This window comes from Homo sapiens, chromosome 10 (assembly GCF_000001405.40).
Source record: "Homo sapiens chromosome 10, GRCh38.p14 Primary Assembly".
NCBI lineage: Eukaryota > Metazoa > Chordata > Mammalia > Primates > Hominidae > Homo > Homo sapiens.
The window spans coordinates 86,753,820-86,769,492 of record NC_000010.11 but is presented as its reverse complement, the minus strand read 5'-3'; the positions used below and the strand labels follow the sequence as shown (position 1 = coordinate 86,769,492).

The 15,673-nt window shown below is 44.0% G+C and overlaps 1 protein-coding gene across 35 annotated transcripts in view, besides 1 other annotated feature; it reads right to left on the bottom strand.

The window, feature by feature from the left end:
• Positions 1-13,730, bottom strand: part of BMPR1A (bone morphogenetic protein receptor type 1A) — a 177,082-nt gene extending 163,352 nt beyond the window's left edge. For 30 of the 35 annotated variants that reach the window (NR_176213.1, NR_176212.1, NR_176211.1 and 27 more), the window contains exon 1: positions 12,574-12,874. The gene's annotated coding sequence lies outside the window, so the exon portion shown is untranslated. Of the gene's footprint in view, positions 1-12,573; positions 12,875-13,388 lie in introns of those variants that run through there. The other 5 variants (NM_001406562.1, NM_001406568.1, NM_001406567.1 and 2 more) reach the window with 2 other exon arrangements.
• Positions 12,392-13,361: a silencer, noted in NCBI's record as "silent region_2573". NCBI's record gives its function as "represses an Ori minimal core promoter by ATAC-STARR-seq in GM12878 lymphoblastoid cells {active_cell/tissue: GM12878}" and the evidence as "EXISTENCE:reporter gene assay evidence [ECO:0000049][PMID:35858748]".

Below are 15,673 nucleotides of genomic sequence, written 5' to 3'. Positions count from 1 at the left end.
TGAGGTCCTAATCATCCACTCTGAGTGAATGAGGAAAAGTCTGATTCTATTTACTTTTTTCTTTTTAGAGACAGGGTCTCGCTATGTTGTCCACGCTGAAGCGCAGTTGCTATTTACATAGCACATTATTCTCATAATGCATTACAGCTGCAAAATCCTGGCCTCAAGTGATCCTCTCACCTCAGCCTCCCTAGTAGGTAGAACTACAGAGTTCAGCTCTAGATCTATTTACTCTTTTACACCAACTTGTTTGACATTGGTGGGAAAATTAACCTTCATTAGCCTCCAATTCTTGATGTACAAAGCAGGAAAAGCAACAAAATTTCCTATATCAATTTGCCAGTACTGATGATACACAGAAGCATTTTGCAAATTCAAATGTGAATATTAACATGGAAGCTAAAATAATGCATACTTTTAGAAAGCAACAAGATCAGATTTAATTTTCAAGGACCCTGTATGTGAAGCCATTCAAACCTGCATTTTAAGATAGAACTGTCCTGCTTATTTCTCTCAGAAATACTCATCTTCACTAACATTCATTAAGCTACTACAGTGGCAAGCACAGTGTTAAGCACTGAACTGCACTCATCATTCATTTAGTCCTCACAGTAGCCCTGAGAGAGAGGACCATTATTATCCTTGTTTCACATATGAGAAAAGAAGGCTTAGAGTAATTAACAACTTTGGCTCAAGGTCACAAACCTAGTAAGCAGAGTGTAATAAGGCACAGAAAGCAATAAACACACCGATGCATAACTAAACCTAGAAATAAGCCAACATTTAATTAACCTTTTTAGTTATTTCATAACCAGATAAATGGAAAAGTCACAATAACCATATCAGGATTTCTTTATTCTTTTAAGCTATTAATGCCTTCTTTGTGTAAAGATTTAACCTCAATTGAATGACTTCTTTTGTTGACTCTCCTCAGTGATGTGACCAGAGAAACCTGTTACAAATCATTTTCTCTTCTATGCAAATTGATAAAATGCTAAGAAAAAACAGGGAAGAGTGCATAATTTTAAGAACAAAGGCCTGTGAACACAATTAAAGTTACTATGCCATCCATTAACAATCAGCATTACTACGATAGGAACAAACACATGGGGGTGGGGGGCACATCTTTAATAGCATAATCCACTTCTTTTAACAAATGTTTCATTTTGGATAACAGTTTTTTTAATGTACTTTAAAGAAACTTTACTCACGCTCTTTATATTTAAGATATTTATATTTATTCTTAGAAAAACGTTACTTTATTATTATCCCTTGCCCTTACAGCCAGAAAAATATCAATTTGGCCATTGTCAGAGAAGAAAAACTTCCTACACCCTCTTAGGTTCAGTAATTGAGGTCTGATAAATTAAACTGACAAAGAACACATCTGCAAGAGAAATGACAGATTTGATTCACATATGTAGAATAATTCACAGAAAAATGTGACCCAAGGGGGCTGTCCGAATTTGGGGCATGTGTACCATCTTACTAGGGGAACTGGAACTAGAAAAGAACAATGGGCTGTTGCAGGAAAACAAGTAACATGTAGGAAAGACAAATGGACCCTTAGGACAACAGTTGGACATAGGATAGTTTATAACAATGTCTGTTTAGGTGTGGTGCCAAATTCTCTCCAGCGACAAGAGACCATCTTCCCTGCTTGCAAAACTCCCAAGGAAGGGATTTATGACAACTGGAAGTTATGACAATTGAGTTCTTTGGGGGAGGATCTAGTTTTAGGCAGACAAGGGAGTTCAGGAGGAAAAAAAAGCTATTCTCAAATGTTTCCAGATTAAAATATATGTTTTGTTTGTTTGAGACAGGGTCTTGCTTTGTCACTCAGGCTGGAGTGCAGTGTAAGATCATGGCTCACTGCAGTCTCGAACTCCTGGGCTCAAGCGATCCCCCCACCTCAGCTTCCTGAGTTGCTGAGACTACAAGTGCATACCACCACATCTCATTGATTTTTAAATTTTTGTAGAGACAGAGTCTCAACATATTGCCCAGGCTGGTCTAGAGCTCCTAGGCTCAAGTGATCCTCCTGCCTCCGCCACCCAAAGTGCTGGGATTACAAGCATGAGCCACCAGGTTTCCAAATAATTTTTATGTTGCAGTAGCATATTCTGGACGCCTTTGCCATGAACAGATACAAATATCTGAACATTTACTTTGTACAAAGCATGCATGTGTACTGTTAGCAATACGAAATATTTTAGCACAAAAATCAAAGGAGCGTATAACAAGTTGAGAGTATAAGACAAATGAAACTTAAAATTTTTTGTTTTTTAATATTCATACAACAGCAAAGAAACCTTATATCATGAATGTTTTTTCAGCTGGCAAACTGGCAAAGATAAAAACAGACTGATATGGCCGGGCGTGGTGCCTCACGCCTGTAATCCCAGCACTTTGGGAGGCCAAGGCGGGCGGATCACGAGGTCACGAGATCAAGACCATCCTGACCAACATGGTGAAACCCTGTCTCTACTAAAAATACAAAAATTAGCTGGACATGGTGACGTGCACCTGTTGTCTGAGCTACTCCGGAGGCTGAGTCAGGAGAATCACTTGAATCCGGGAGGCAGAGGCTGCAGTGAGCCAGGATGGCACCACTGCACTCCAGCCTGGCAGCAGAGCAAGACTCGGTCTCCAAAAAAAAAAAAAAAACCATCCTGGCTAACACGGTGAAACCCCGTCTCCACTAAAAATACAAAAAAAAATTAGCCAGGTGTGATGGCGGGCGCCTGTACTCGGGAGGCTGAGGCAGGAGAATGGCATGAACCCAGGAGGCGGAGCTTGCTGTGAGCAGAGATAGCGCCACTGCACTCCCGCCTGGGTGAAAGAGCGAGACTCCGTCTCAAAAAAAAAAAAAAAAGACTGATATGATTATGTTGGGAGGAGAGAACATATTCAAATACTGTTGGCTGGAATATGAATGGTTACGAAGATTTTGCAGGGTGGCTTGGCACTTTCCATCCAATCTGCACGGCTTCTCTTATAGTAAATGCATTTCTAAGAATTCATTTCATAAAATAAAAACAGTCTCAAAGGATATGTACAAACACCACAGCATATTTGCAATGCAAAAGAAAAAAATGGAAATAATCTAATTATTCATTAACACGAAACTGGTAAGTAAAATTAAGGTATAATCAGAAAATGGAATAACTGCTTAACTACTATAAAGAATGAGATGATTAAGGCTGCGCACAACACCTCACACCTGTAATCTCAGCACTTTGGGAGGCCTAGGTGGGAGGATCACTTTAGCCCAGGAGTTCGAGACCAGCCTAGGCATCATGGTGAGATCCCACCTCCACACACACAAAAATTTTTTAATTAGCTGGGCATGGTAGCATGCACCTCTGGTCCCAGCTATTCAGGAGGCTGAGATGGGAGGATTGCTTGAGCCCAGGAGTTGGATGCTGCAGTGAGCTGTTTGCACCACAGCACCACTGCAGCCTGGGCAACAGAACAAGACCTTCCCTCAAAAAAAAAAAAAAGAATGAGGAAATTGAAATTTACTGACATAAAAAGAATCCCCCTATATATTCAGTGAAAATAAATTTAAAGATAAGGATGTATCGTATGACCCCATTTTAGGAAATGGGGACAGAAAAAAAGAAAGAAGGCAACAGAAAAGAAAATTTTTTCTAGCTCTATACTTTCAACAGTGGCAATCTTGGGGCACAGGTGAAGCATGATTACAGAAGACTTTCATTACTTCATTTCTGTATTGTTTGAAATTTCAACCACAAATATGTGTAACTTCTGTTAACAGAAAACACACAGTTCTATGGTAATACGTAGTTAGGGAAACTATACTAGAGTTTCACCATGTGTATTAGCATATTAAAAGTTCTGAGAAGGTTTGTAGTAAAGAAATCTAATATACCAAAAGATTATCTTCAAATAATGATGCAGCAAAGAGCCAACTATGAGGCTTGGACCACTGAGGAGGGCTTCATAGGAGAGAGAGGAATATTCTTTTTTTTTTTTTTTTTTTTTTGAGACAGAGTCTTACTCTGTCGCCCAGGCTGGAGTGCAATGGTGCAATCTCGGCTCACTGCAACCTCCACCTCCCAGGTTCAAGTGATTCTCCTGTCTTAGCCTCCTGAGTACCTGGGATTACAGGCGTGCCACCACACCCGGCTAATTTTTGTATTTTTAGTGGAGATGGGGTTTCACCATGTTGGTCAGGCTGGTCTCGAGTTCCTGACCTCGTGATCCTCCCGCCTCGGCCTCCCAAAGTGCTGGGATTACAGGCGTGAGCCACAGCACCTGGCCAAGGATTTATACTAGATTTTAAAGCATTCTGATGGGCAAAGAACCAGGGAAAGGAAAGTCAAAGGCAGTACTGTCCAATATGACGTGTAATTTTAAACTTTCTAGTTGCCACATTTAAAAAGTAAAAAGAATCCTGTGAAATCAGTTTTGTTTTTTTAACTGAGACAAGGTCTCACCACGTTACCCAGGCTGGTCTCAAGCTGCTGGGCTCAAGCAATCCTCCCACAGTGCTGGGATTACAGGCATGAGCCACCATGCCCGGCCAAAATCAGTTTTAATATATTTCTTTAATCCAATGTATCCCTAACAGTATCATCTCACTATATAACCAATATTTTAAAAGCATAATGAGATATTTTACATCTTTTGGTACTATCTTCAAAATCTGGTACGTAATTCACACTTAGACTAGCCACAGTTCAAGTCTTCAACAGCCACATGTGGTAGTGGCTATCTATTGTAGTGGACAGTAGAGGTCTAAGGATTCTGAACCCAAACCTGAATCGGATATTTACGTGACTTAGGCTGATAAAATAGTAGGAAAGGAAGCAAAGCAGAAAAGGCTGACTTGGCCAGAGCAGGAGACCAGTCCAAGATATTCTGGATTTTCTATTGTAAGCAAATAAGAAAACAGGGAAAAATATTTAACAAATAGGGATGATGACCAAAGCAGTACTTCAGAAAGATTAACAGTTTTTGCTAAAATATACACGTACAACTTCAACATGCAATTTTTCCCCCACATTTTTATTAAATAAAAGATTATAAAATGAAGGAAGAATAATCTGTCACCCAGCGATTATATTTCATTGATTTGGTATACATTTAAGATACTTCTGAACAGTTACCACTGAAATATTTTTATTTCATGACATTTTTAAATGATTCTTGAAAAATGCAGACATTAAGAGCCTCACCAAAATTTAACAGCCTTTACTTTAATATTTTCTAACAAGAGCTTCTTTTAGCCAGGAATCTAAAACATTCTTATATACAAATTTAAAACACTCAAGACCCTATACTCTTGAAATACATTACAAAGCATTTTAATTACTAGTAAGAAAACTACCTACAAATCTTAATATACATAAAACAGTATCAAAACTATCCAAGTCAGCCAGATGTGGTGGCTCACGCCTGTAATCCCAGCACTTTGGGAGGCTGAGGCGGGAGGATCACGAGGTCAGGAGATTGAGACCATCCTGGCTAACACGGTGAAACCCTGTCTCTACTAAAAAATAGAAAAAATTAGCTAGGCGTGGTGGCGGGCTCCTGTGGTCCCAGCTACTCAGGAGGCTGAGGCAGGAGAATGGCGTGAACCCGGGAGGCAGAGCTTGCAGTGAGCCAACATGCGCCACTGCACTCCAGCCTGGGCGACAGAGCGAGACTCCGTCTCAAAAAAAAAAAAAAAAAAACAACTATCCAAGTCTCCTACAGATTTCTCACCTTCAAAATTGAGAGTCTATCTTCTCAACATTTTGATACTTTACCCAAAGGCTAAAGAAAAAAAAATTAATGCTCAAAAAAGGAGGTAAGAAAGCAGGATACGGGAAGGGCACCGCAGGCATAAGCCATACTCCCTTTGGTACTTGCAAGGACTGCCAAGGCTGGCGTGATTCTTCAGCCAAAAGTCAGAAGTCCAGTGATGTCATTAGGACCAAAAGCATTATATGACCTTCAATTTCGGCAGCTAACTGTGCTGCAAGTCAAGATATTTTCTTTCTTTTTCTTTTTTTAAGCAGAAAAATTATCTTAAAGTTCACCATGTTCCTTCTATTTTTTAAGATAAAGAAACGAAGATTCGGATTGGGTTAGTGTGGCATCCGTGATTGAATAGGTACTCAGTAGTAAAACCAGTATCAGACATTATTTATAAAAAATTAGAAGCTGAAACTTAATCATTCCGCTGCTTCTTTATGGCTTTTTATACTTCCCAAATTACCCACAATAGATGTATTGCCTTTAAAATTTTTAAAAAGCTGCAAAAACTGCTCACTTTACCGAATACTTCTGGCCGGGCGCAGTGGCTCATGCCTGTAATCCCAGCACTTTGGGAGGCCGAGGTGGGCGGATCACGAGGTCAGGAGTTCGAGATCAGCCTGACCAACACAGCGAAACCCCGTCTCTACTAAAAATACAAAAATTAGCCAGGCGTGGTGGCTCACGCTTGTGACCCCAACTACTTGGGAGGCTGAGGCATGAGAATCGCTTAACCCGGGAGGTAGAGGTTGCAGTGAGCCAAGATCACGCCACTGCACTCCAGCCTGGGCGACAGAGTGAGACTCCGTCTCAAATAAATAAATAAATACTACTGAATACTTCCAAAAACAGTCTCCTTGTCCTTTCTTGCCTAAGGTCTCACTCTGCGGGCTACCTTTCTCAGGAAAGCCTTCCAAAGTACCCGCATCCTGAACAGCCCAGCTTCCCTTATCAGTCTTGTAACATTCCCTGGACTTCCTTTTTGTAGATCTTAACATAACTACAACTAGATAATTATTTAATGTCTATCTTCTCTACCCAGGCCTTAAGTTGAAATTTCTCAAGACTGGCCAGGCGCAGTGGCTCACACCTGTAATCCCAGAACTTTGGGAGGCCAAGGCGGAAGGATCACCTGAGGTCAGGAGTTGAGACCAGCCTGGCCCACGAGGCAAAACCCTGTCTCTACTAAAAATACAAAAAGGAGCCAGGCGTATTGGCGGGCGCCTGTTAAACCCAGCTACTCGGGAAGCTGAGCCAGGATAATCACTTGAACCCAGGAGGCGGAGGTTGCAGTGAGCCCAGATCGCACCACTGCACTCCAGCCTGGGAAACATAGCAAGACTCCGTCTCAAAAAGAAAGAAAAAAAATTCTCAATGCTGTTTTAGGCTCTTTGCTAGACCATACAAGGAGTTCTCGATACGAGGTCTATAACCTATAACCTGTAATTCTATAACCTATAACCTATGTCTTCCTCTGCCAGATATATGCACCTGCCTGAAATGAGACCACAAAAGTGAAGAACAGAAAAGACAACCTCAATTAATTATATCATTTGAGCACTTAGGTCCAGCCATGTCTATTTCTAGACCTTTCAATATCATGGGGGTTAGTGGGGAGAAGCTTTTCCCTCCTTTAAGCTAACTTGAGTTAGGGCTGTCACTTGTAAGCAAGAGTCACTTGAGAGAGCCACCCAATTCCCACTGTTGGAATATAAAATCTATACAGCAATGACTCCCAAATGCCTACCTCCAGCACAAACCTCTGTCAAACCCCAGACCCATATAGACAACTGCCAAGTGGAAATCCCTACTTGGCTGTTTCAGATATCTCAAACTCCATGTGATCCAATACTATTTTCTTCTACAAACCAGCTCTCCCACCTCATTTTTCATATCTGTCACCCACATCTACCCTGCTTTCCAAGCTAGAAATCCAGGAGTTGTTCTTGCCAATCCCATTCCTTCTCTCATCCACGCTAGTTATCGCCTCCTATCCATTCCAGGCCCTAATTATCTGCCACCATCTTAACCCATTTATGCCTGAGGCTGCAATTTTTTGAATTTTTGCAATCAGACCTTGGTGATGACCTTGAGCAGGATATAAATAACTCCCACGTGCTTAGCGTTCCAATAGTGGAACACTAGGCATAAATGGGTTTAATCCGGGCTAGGCCAGAAAGACCTTCCTACAAGTTTGAACATCTTCAGTCTTCCTTTCTTCAAAATGATTTTCCAACATGTAACTAATCTCCCTAACTGCAAATGTGATTATAATATTTTATCCCTATCTCTAGCATACTCCTGTCCTCCTTCATAAGTCAACAGCCAATTATATACAGCTGGATCAAGAGCCAAGCTCCACTGTTCCAGACTTTAACAGTATAACAAATCTGTGCCATAAGAAAGGAAGGCTCATCAGAAATATAAAACTATAAAAGAGTAACAAAGTCTACAACATCAGAGTAAATAAAAGATACTCAAAGATAATTTACTCATCTATTCAATGTCTACTCATTAGTTATATATTAAACTGCCCATACGAACTGGCTTAGGGACCACAGGGGCCACCCTGAGATGGAGTCTACTGATCATCTGATCTCCCTATGCCCCTAACTAGTGTTCTTTTCAAAAAACACTACTGGGGATTTCCAGGCACATCCAAGAGCTTTGATTAGGGAGAGAAACACTATTCATCAATTCTAAGATGCATCCATTTTTCATATTTTAGCATCTCCGGAATTGGGGTGCACCTTACAATCAATGGCTTCTTACAACTAGAAGCATATTTTAAGTGGTCTGTAACACTACTGTGTATCTTACAATGGACATAACTCAATGCAAGTCAACATTTAATCTTGTGTTAAAAAGTTGGTCCAACTTGGTCAATATGGACCTTGTGATGTTAAAAAGACATCCTAAAGCCTAAAAACTAGTAAAAGGTGGGAAAGTAGAAAAGGAAAAGAAATGGTTCCTACTTCAAAATTTAGTGTGATAGGAAACCCATTTTCCTTTCTCTCCATGGTTCGCTGCTCCTAAGATCCAATAGTCAGATCAGGACAGTTCAACAGCTACTGTTAGGCTAGACAGGAGCCTTTCCCCATTTATTCCTTTTAATATGCAAGAAAAGTCCGTTACAGACCCACCCTGCAAACTAGTAGTGAAACTAATATTTGTATAAAAACTGCTATAAAGGCCAGCCACAGTGCCTCACCTGTGTAACCCCAGCACAGGGAGGCTGAGGCGAGCGGATCAACTGAGGTCAGGAGTTTAAGACCAGCCTGGCCAACATGGCAAAACCCCACCTCTACTAAAAATACAAAAATTAGCCAGGCGTGGTCCCAGCTACCTGGGAGGCTGAGGCAGGAGAATCCCTTGAACCCAGGAGGCAGAGGTTGCAATGAGCTGAGCTCACGCCATTGCACTCCAGCCCAGGCGACAGTGCGAGACTCTGTATCAAAAAAAAAAAAAAAAAAAAAAAGAAAGAAAGAAAGAAAGAAAGAAAAAACAATAAGGTATTAAAAAAAAAAAAAAAAAAAAACAGGTAAATCTGAGGCAAATACCACAGAAAATATTTCATTTAATGGAAGACCTAGGAAACTTCTGAGTGGCGAAGTGGTAAGAACTGGGCTTACAGATTAATTTAGGCAGAAATACATAAGATTAGATAAAGGAGAAAAGTGAAGGCAAGAAAATCATAACATTAGTCCAGGTGGGATGAGAACTTGATTTAGAGTTAGGGGGTGGGGGTGGAGTCGCGGGGTGGTGGGGGGAGAACTACGTGAAAGCCAAATAACACTAGATTTGAAAATAAATTCCTGAAAAAAATGTGAAACATTAAAATTCATATGAGAATCAGAAAATCGACACAAACCAACAGCTATTAAAGAAATTGAAGTGTTACTCAAAGTCCTCTCCAGAAAAAAGATCTAGGCCTAAATGGTCACATAGGGGAGGTCTTCCAAACTTTCAAGGAACAGATAATCCCAGTCTAAAATGATCCTGAAAAAGAGAAAAAGAAGGAAAGCTGCCCAACTCGTTTTATGATTTGACTACTACCTTCACACCAATATGAATTCAGAATTGCCCCACAGTTAGCAAGAATAGAGAGCAGAAGAGTTACAATATCATAAAGCAGAATCAACAGATGTTGGCTACAGACAAGATATGATGAAATGGGAAAAGGTTTGGGTTTGGTATGACATCAACAAAAATAAAGAACACCAAAGAGGCAAGTTTGCTAAGGAAAAGCAGCTCAGAACAATCAGGTACAGATATGTAGAAAGCAACTGAATAAAAAAGAAAAAACAAAACAAACAAACAAAAAAACGTGATTCAGAAGACACATAAACAAAGAATTGAGAATTATTCCAACAGAAAGGTCTGAACAATCATTCTAAGGGACTAGAGACATAGAGAAAAGTGATCTGAAAAGTGAAACTTGGAGAACGCATATTAAAGAGGAAAGAAGAAACAGAAGGCAGAAAAGTGGCGGAGAGGAACAAAGTCAGTATAATGTCACAAAAGGCCCCTCTTCATCTAGTTAATAGTTAACTCTTGCTCATCCTTCACAATCTGCCTGGGTTCCAACAAAGCAATTTTAAGGTATCTTTCCCAGATTCTCCCACCACCACAAGCACCAGATCAGGTCTCCATTTGAAGTTCTTATAATATTCTGCACCTTAATTAAAATCACAATTATATTTAACTAGAGACTTTATTTTTCAATAAGTATTTCCCCACTAGACTTTAAGCTCCATGAGGGAAGGATCTGTTGTATCTTACTGCCTTGGACCCTGTGTTAGAATACAGCGAGTATAGATGAATGAAACCCAAGGAGAGGCATCTGAAAATGTGAAGTCGATGTTAAATCTTACAGAAAACTCAAGGAGAGGACTTAGAAAAAGGTAGTTAAATGTGTTGATTAGGTTATAGTTCCTTGTGAAGGTGAAATCCAGATAACAAGGGGTTAAGAAATGAGTGGCTAGCCACCAACCAGGCAAAGGCAGGAAAAGCAGACTACACTTGGCAATCTCTAGAGATGGATTGTGAATGACTAAATTTTAATTTCAATGTTGCGCTAGTTCGCAATTAACAACCATGTGTTACTTTTATTACGAACAAGCTTTTTAAAATGTTAATAAGATTTGAAAAGGAAAAGCAGCAACAAGACAGCTTGAAGGAGTAGCAGACTTAAGAAAAGGTTTTTGTAAACTGAAAAAATCTTAAGAACATTTGTACTTTAAAGAACCCAAATACGACAGAGAAAATAACTCACGCTCCACTAAGCAGGAAAATTAGAAGGAAAGGAAAAAAACCCCAAGGTGTTAACTAATAAGAAAGACAAAAAAAAAAAAAAAAATTCTCCCTCTTTGACGGAAGGTTAAGAAGCCAGTAACAGAAGGAATTTAATGAAGGAGCTCCTGCTAAGTGCCTCAACCTCTTCTGTAAAGGGTGGGGAGAAGTGAAGAAAGTAGAAAAAGTTTAAAGTGGGCTCCACGGAAAATGGAGGAAAAATTAAACAAGAACTGAGTCTGGTTCTACTAAAAACGCATTCTACATTTCAATCGGCCTTTCATACACTCACCCCATTCCTAGATCAGAGAATTGCCCATATTTTAGCTTCAAATTTAAAAATCTAAATAATTCTGGTTCACATTCTTTATTTCAACAACTGAAAACAATGAGACGCATTAAGTTACACTCTAATTCAAAGTTTAACTCCTCTCACAAGTAAATACAATAAAGTAGTTGTTTTCAACTCCAGCAACAAAATAGCGATAATTTCAAGTAAGAGTAACTGAAAAATGTTCCTAAACGTAAAAGTGTTTGCAAACAGTTTTGGTTTTTTTTCTTCCTAATTCGTTTGCCAGAATACGATGTTCCTGGGTTCAAATCCCAGCTCCCTTAGACAAGTTAGTTAACCTCTTTGCGACTCGGTTTCTTCCCCTAAAACAATGAGGAATACAATAAACCAGAATCGTTGTAAGGATTAAATGACGTAACACAGGTGCCAAGTTCATACTATGTACTCTGAACAGTTTGTTAACCGCTTAAAAGAGAAAACCTGCAGGAGTTTGACCAAATTAAAACATCTGAGAGCATGAAAGAGTACCACGCTCAAACGCCAGACCCTAACACACAGCATATTATTTTTCTTCCCTGACGCAAGCTCATTTTTTTTTCCTTGCCAAATCTTTCCACTAGGAGTCTGGAAAGAGAAAAAAGGGTCCAGGCAATCCAGCAGAAAGTTTTCCAAAACTGAAGTACGGAATCACCAGGCCACGGAGCGGAGGCCGCGCAGGACAACAGGTGAAGCAGCTCCGGGAGCTCGGGGGCCAGGGCCCCTTCCCGCGGGGACTCGGGGGCGGGCCGGCTGCTCCTCTCACTCGACCCCCGCCCGAAACTCATTTTGTTCTCCCCTGTTCCTCCCCACAGCGTCCGGAGCCAAATCACAAATATCAGCCTCGCCGCTCCGGGGCGGGGAGGTGAGCGCCTTTCCCATTTAAGGATTCCAGAAGCGTCCCCGGAGCGACTTTCGCCCACTCCGCATCCCCAAACTCGGCCTGCAACCCGCGAGTGGGAGACAAAAGAGGGGCCGGCGGGGGACGCGGCGCGGGGTGCCGTGGGTCTCTGGCTGGGCGGTCCCGGCCCAGCGCGCGCCGAGGCCTGCGGAGCTGCCGGGGCCGGGCCGGGCAGCCCCTGGCTCCGGCCACCGCGCGCCCAGCTGCCTCTGCAGCCTCGCCCGAGCCCCTCTGGCCTCCCCGCTGCGGCCAGCCCCTCCGGTCCGCACGCGCACTCCCAACTCACCCGGACCCCAGGGAACGCATCCTCCAGCCCTCGGCGCGGAGCGGGTGGGCGCGGCGAGCCGCCGGGGCGAAGTGGGGCCCGAATCGGCCTTCGCCCTTGGCGTGCAGCGGCCCCGACCCGGTCGCCCCTCGATCGGGCCGTGCGATCTTCGCCGCGCGCGGACGGACGCGCCGAGCCTAAGCCTTCCTGCCCGCCCTTGGCCCTCCTCCCTCCTCGCTCCTGCCTCCTCCCTTCTCCTTCGCCAAGCCCGGCAGGCGGATTCCAATCTCTGCAGCGGCCGCCGCCACCGCCGCCGACTCTTGCCAGGAGGGGAGGGGGCGGCGCGGGTGCGGGGGCCTGGGGGAGGGGCGGGCGTCCGCGGGCCTTGCACGGCGCGCGCGCACTGGGAAGGCCCCCGCCCGCGCCGCGCGCACCCGACCACGGGCGCCTGCCCCGCCCCGCCCCGGACACGAAAAGAGCCGAGCGCACGGCGGAAGCGCCCGAAGAGTTCGCGGAGCCCGGCGCCCAGTTGCCGGGGAGGAGGGCCAGCCGCCGGCAAGGGGGCGCCGAGCTGCTGGTGCGGGCGGGAGTCGGGGCTGCTCCTCCGCGCGGGCCCGCCGGCCCCTCCCCACAAGCCAGCCCCACAGCTGCCGCCCGGGTAGCTTCCCGCAGACGCCGTAGGTAGCACGCGATGGAACGCGGCGGAGGGGAGCGTGGACACGGCTGCCGGGCGCTGCGGCCATCGGCGCCCTGGACGCCCGCTCCGGCCTTCGGGGCCGGATATCCCCACTCTCGCGGGCTCTTTCGCGTGGACCCCTCCTCCGGCCGACACTCACACTGCGGTGAACGCCAGTCAGCTGGCGTGAAATAAGGTCGCTGGGAAGGCACCAAGTCACCAAGGTGGGGGATGGCCAGGTCGTGGTAGTTGCGACAAAGAAAAATATAAGTCACATTGCATTTGTTTCTCGCCCACCCACCGCTCCCGGCGTCTCTTCCCGGGCTCCTTGCCAGCGTGCCGAGGCGCAGGCAGGGTGATGGAGGCTCCCCGGCCGGGAGGATCTGCCGGGGAGAGCGGCTTCCCTCATCGATTCGGGAGCGCCAGGCCCGGCGCGCCCGGGCTCCTGTGACCTGCGAGCCCGCGAATTCCAGCGGCATAAGATAAGGAGCGGCGAGGGCCCAACAGGACTGAGGTCAGCCAGCTATAAATACGCCTCCAGCTCCACCGCGGGCTCACGCTGGTGACCTCGTGTACCCTCCGGAGGCTCATTCCGTCCATTTGGAAAATGCAAATAATTGTCACCACCTCTTTTCTTCCATTTCCCCTCATTCATGGTGGAAAATGCTTTTAAAAGTATTCGATGACCCGTATGTGAGGAAAGAGGAGATAGGCCCCTTTTTCACCAAATGTGACTTTAACCTCCTTAGTAATCCAAGAAATGTATCAAGTTTAAGTCACTTAACAAAAGATGTTCTTTTAAAGGTGCATTTTAAAAAATCACTTTTAAAACTGGGTAAACTGGGTAAAAAGAAAGGGGGAAGGAAAACAATGTGCCAGGCATTTGTATTGACACACATTCTTGCCTGAAGAGGTGTTTAGATTCCAGGGTATTCCCTTATATTCTGGTATAAATGTTTGAATTCCCGTGTATTTTGTTTCAATTTTTTGGTTTATCTTTTATTCTGTCTCCCTTTTCTTCTTTTACCCGCCTTTGCCCTTAATGCTGCAGATAGCCTCTGTCATTCTGAATTATTTTTCAATTCTGTTTTCTTCCCTAATCTTTTTTTCTGGGCTCTTCAGCTGTCTCAGGTTTGACAGTCATGGGTTGTAGTATCTTGCTATGCAGGAAGAAGAGGATACGTGAGATTACTTGCATCAACTAAAATTGGTCACTTTTCTTTCTCAAGTTTCCTTCATAATACCCAGTTTTAGTTTTTTTGTTTTTTGGGGTTTTTTTGTTCTTTTTTTTTTGAGACGGAGTCTCGCTCTGTCGCCCAGGCTGAAGTGCAGTGGCGCCATCTCGGCTCACTGCAAGCTCCGCCTCCTGGGTTCACGCCATTCTCCTGCCTCAGCCTCCTGAGCAGCTGGGACTACAGGCGCCCGCCACCACGCCCGGCTAACTTTTTGTATTTTTAGTACAGACGGGGTGTCACCGTGTTAATAGGTGTTCTCGATCTCCTGACCTCGTGATCCTCCCGCCTCGGCCTCCCAAAGTGCTGGGATTACAAGCGTGAGCCACTGCGCCCAGCCCCAGCTTTAGTTCTAAAGGAAAAGATGGGCCTTTTGCTTAAGGAGATTCACATTGATTGGTCAAAGCTCTCATTGACGTATGCTGAGCAATGTGTCGGCAGAGAAAACCATGGCAAGCGTGTTATTATGCTCTTTATAGTCTAGTTGGATTTTTAGACATATGAATTGGTCTATAAAATAGACAACAATCTCAGGTGGGAACCTTAGTACATCAAGTTTCTGAAATGTACAAATGAGTATTCCCTGGCTTGTGTTATCTGCCACTGTAGAAATGAGAGCAAAATTGAAGCATCAAATTTTAAGTCGTGATATGTTTGCTTCTCTGCAAAAGACTCTCCTTTTCAAATCTTCAGGAATTTTTCGCTCTCCTTTGATAAGGCCCAGCTAGTACCCAGGCTTCAATCCTCAGCGCCCTGGCTACCAGCAGCTAGTGGGGCATGCTGTTCTCCCTGGCTACTGGCATGTTTATGCATGCCAGCCCGTTTCTCCGGTCTGTCTGCCCAGGGAGACATCTGGACACGTGTGTTCTGGCCCCCAAACTCAAAAGCAACATCTCGGGATCCACAGTTAACATTCCGTAATGTGTTGGTATTCCTTTAAGTGGGTTACTAGAATAGGCTGGAAATGGTCTTTTCTTCTGTCCAGGTAGGTCACAAGAGAGGTAGTTGTTACATGCCCAAAGCAGCATTCATTAATTACATCGTGCATTTAGTTATTTGTTTGTGGTCTGAGCCCCTCTGCTCCACTAGAATATAAACTCCATGAGCAAAAGACTTTGTCAGTCTCTCTTTTTTTAGAGACAGGTTCTCACTTTGTCACCCAGGCTGGAGTGCAGCGGCATAGTCATAGTTCACTGTAACCTGGAACTCCTGG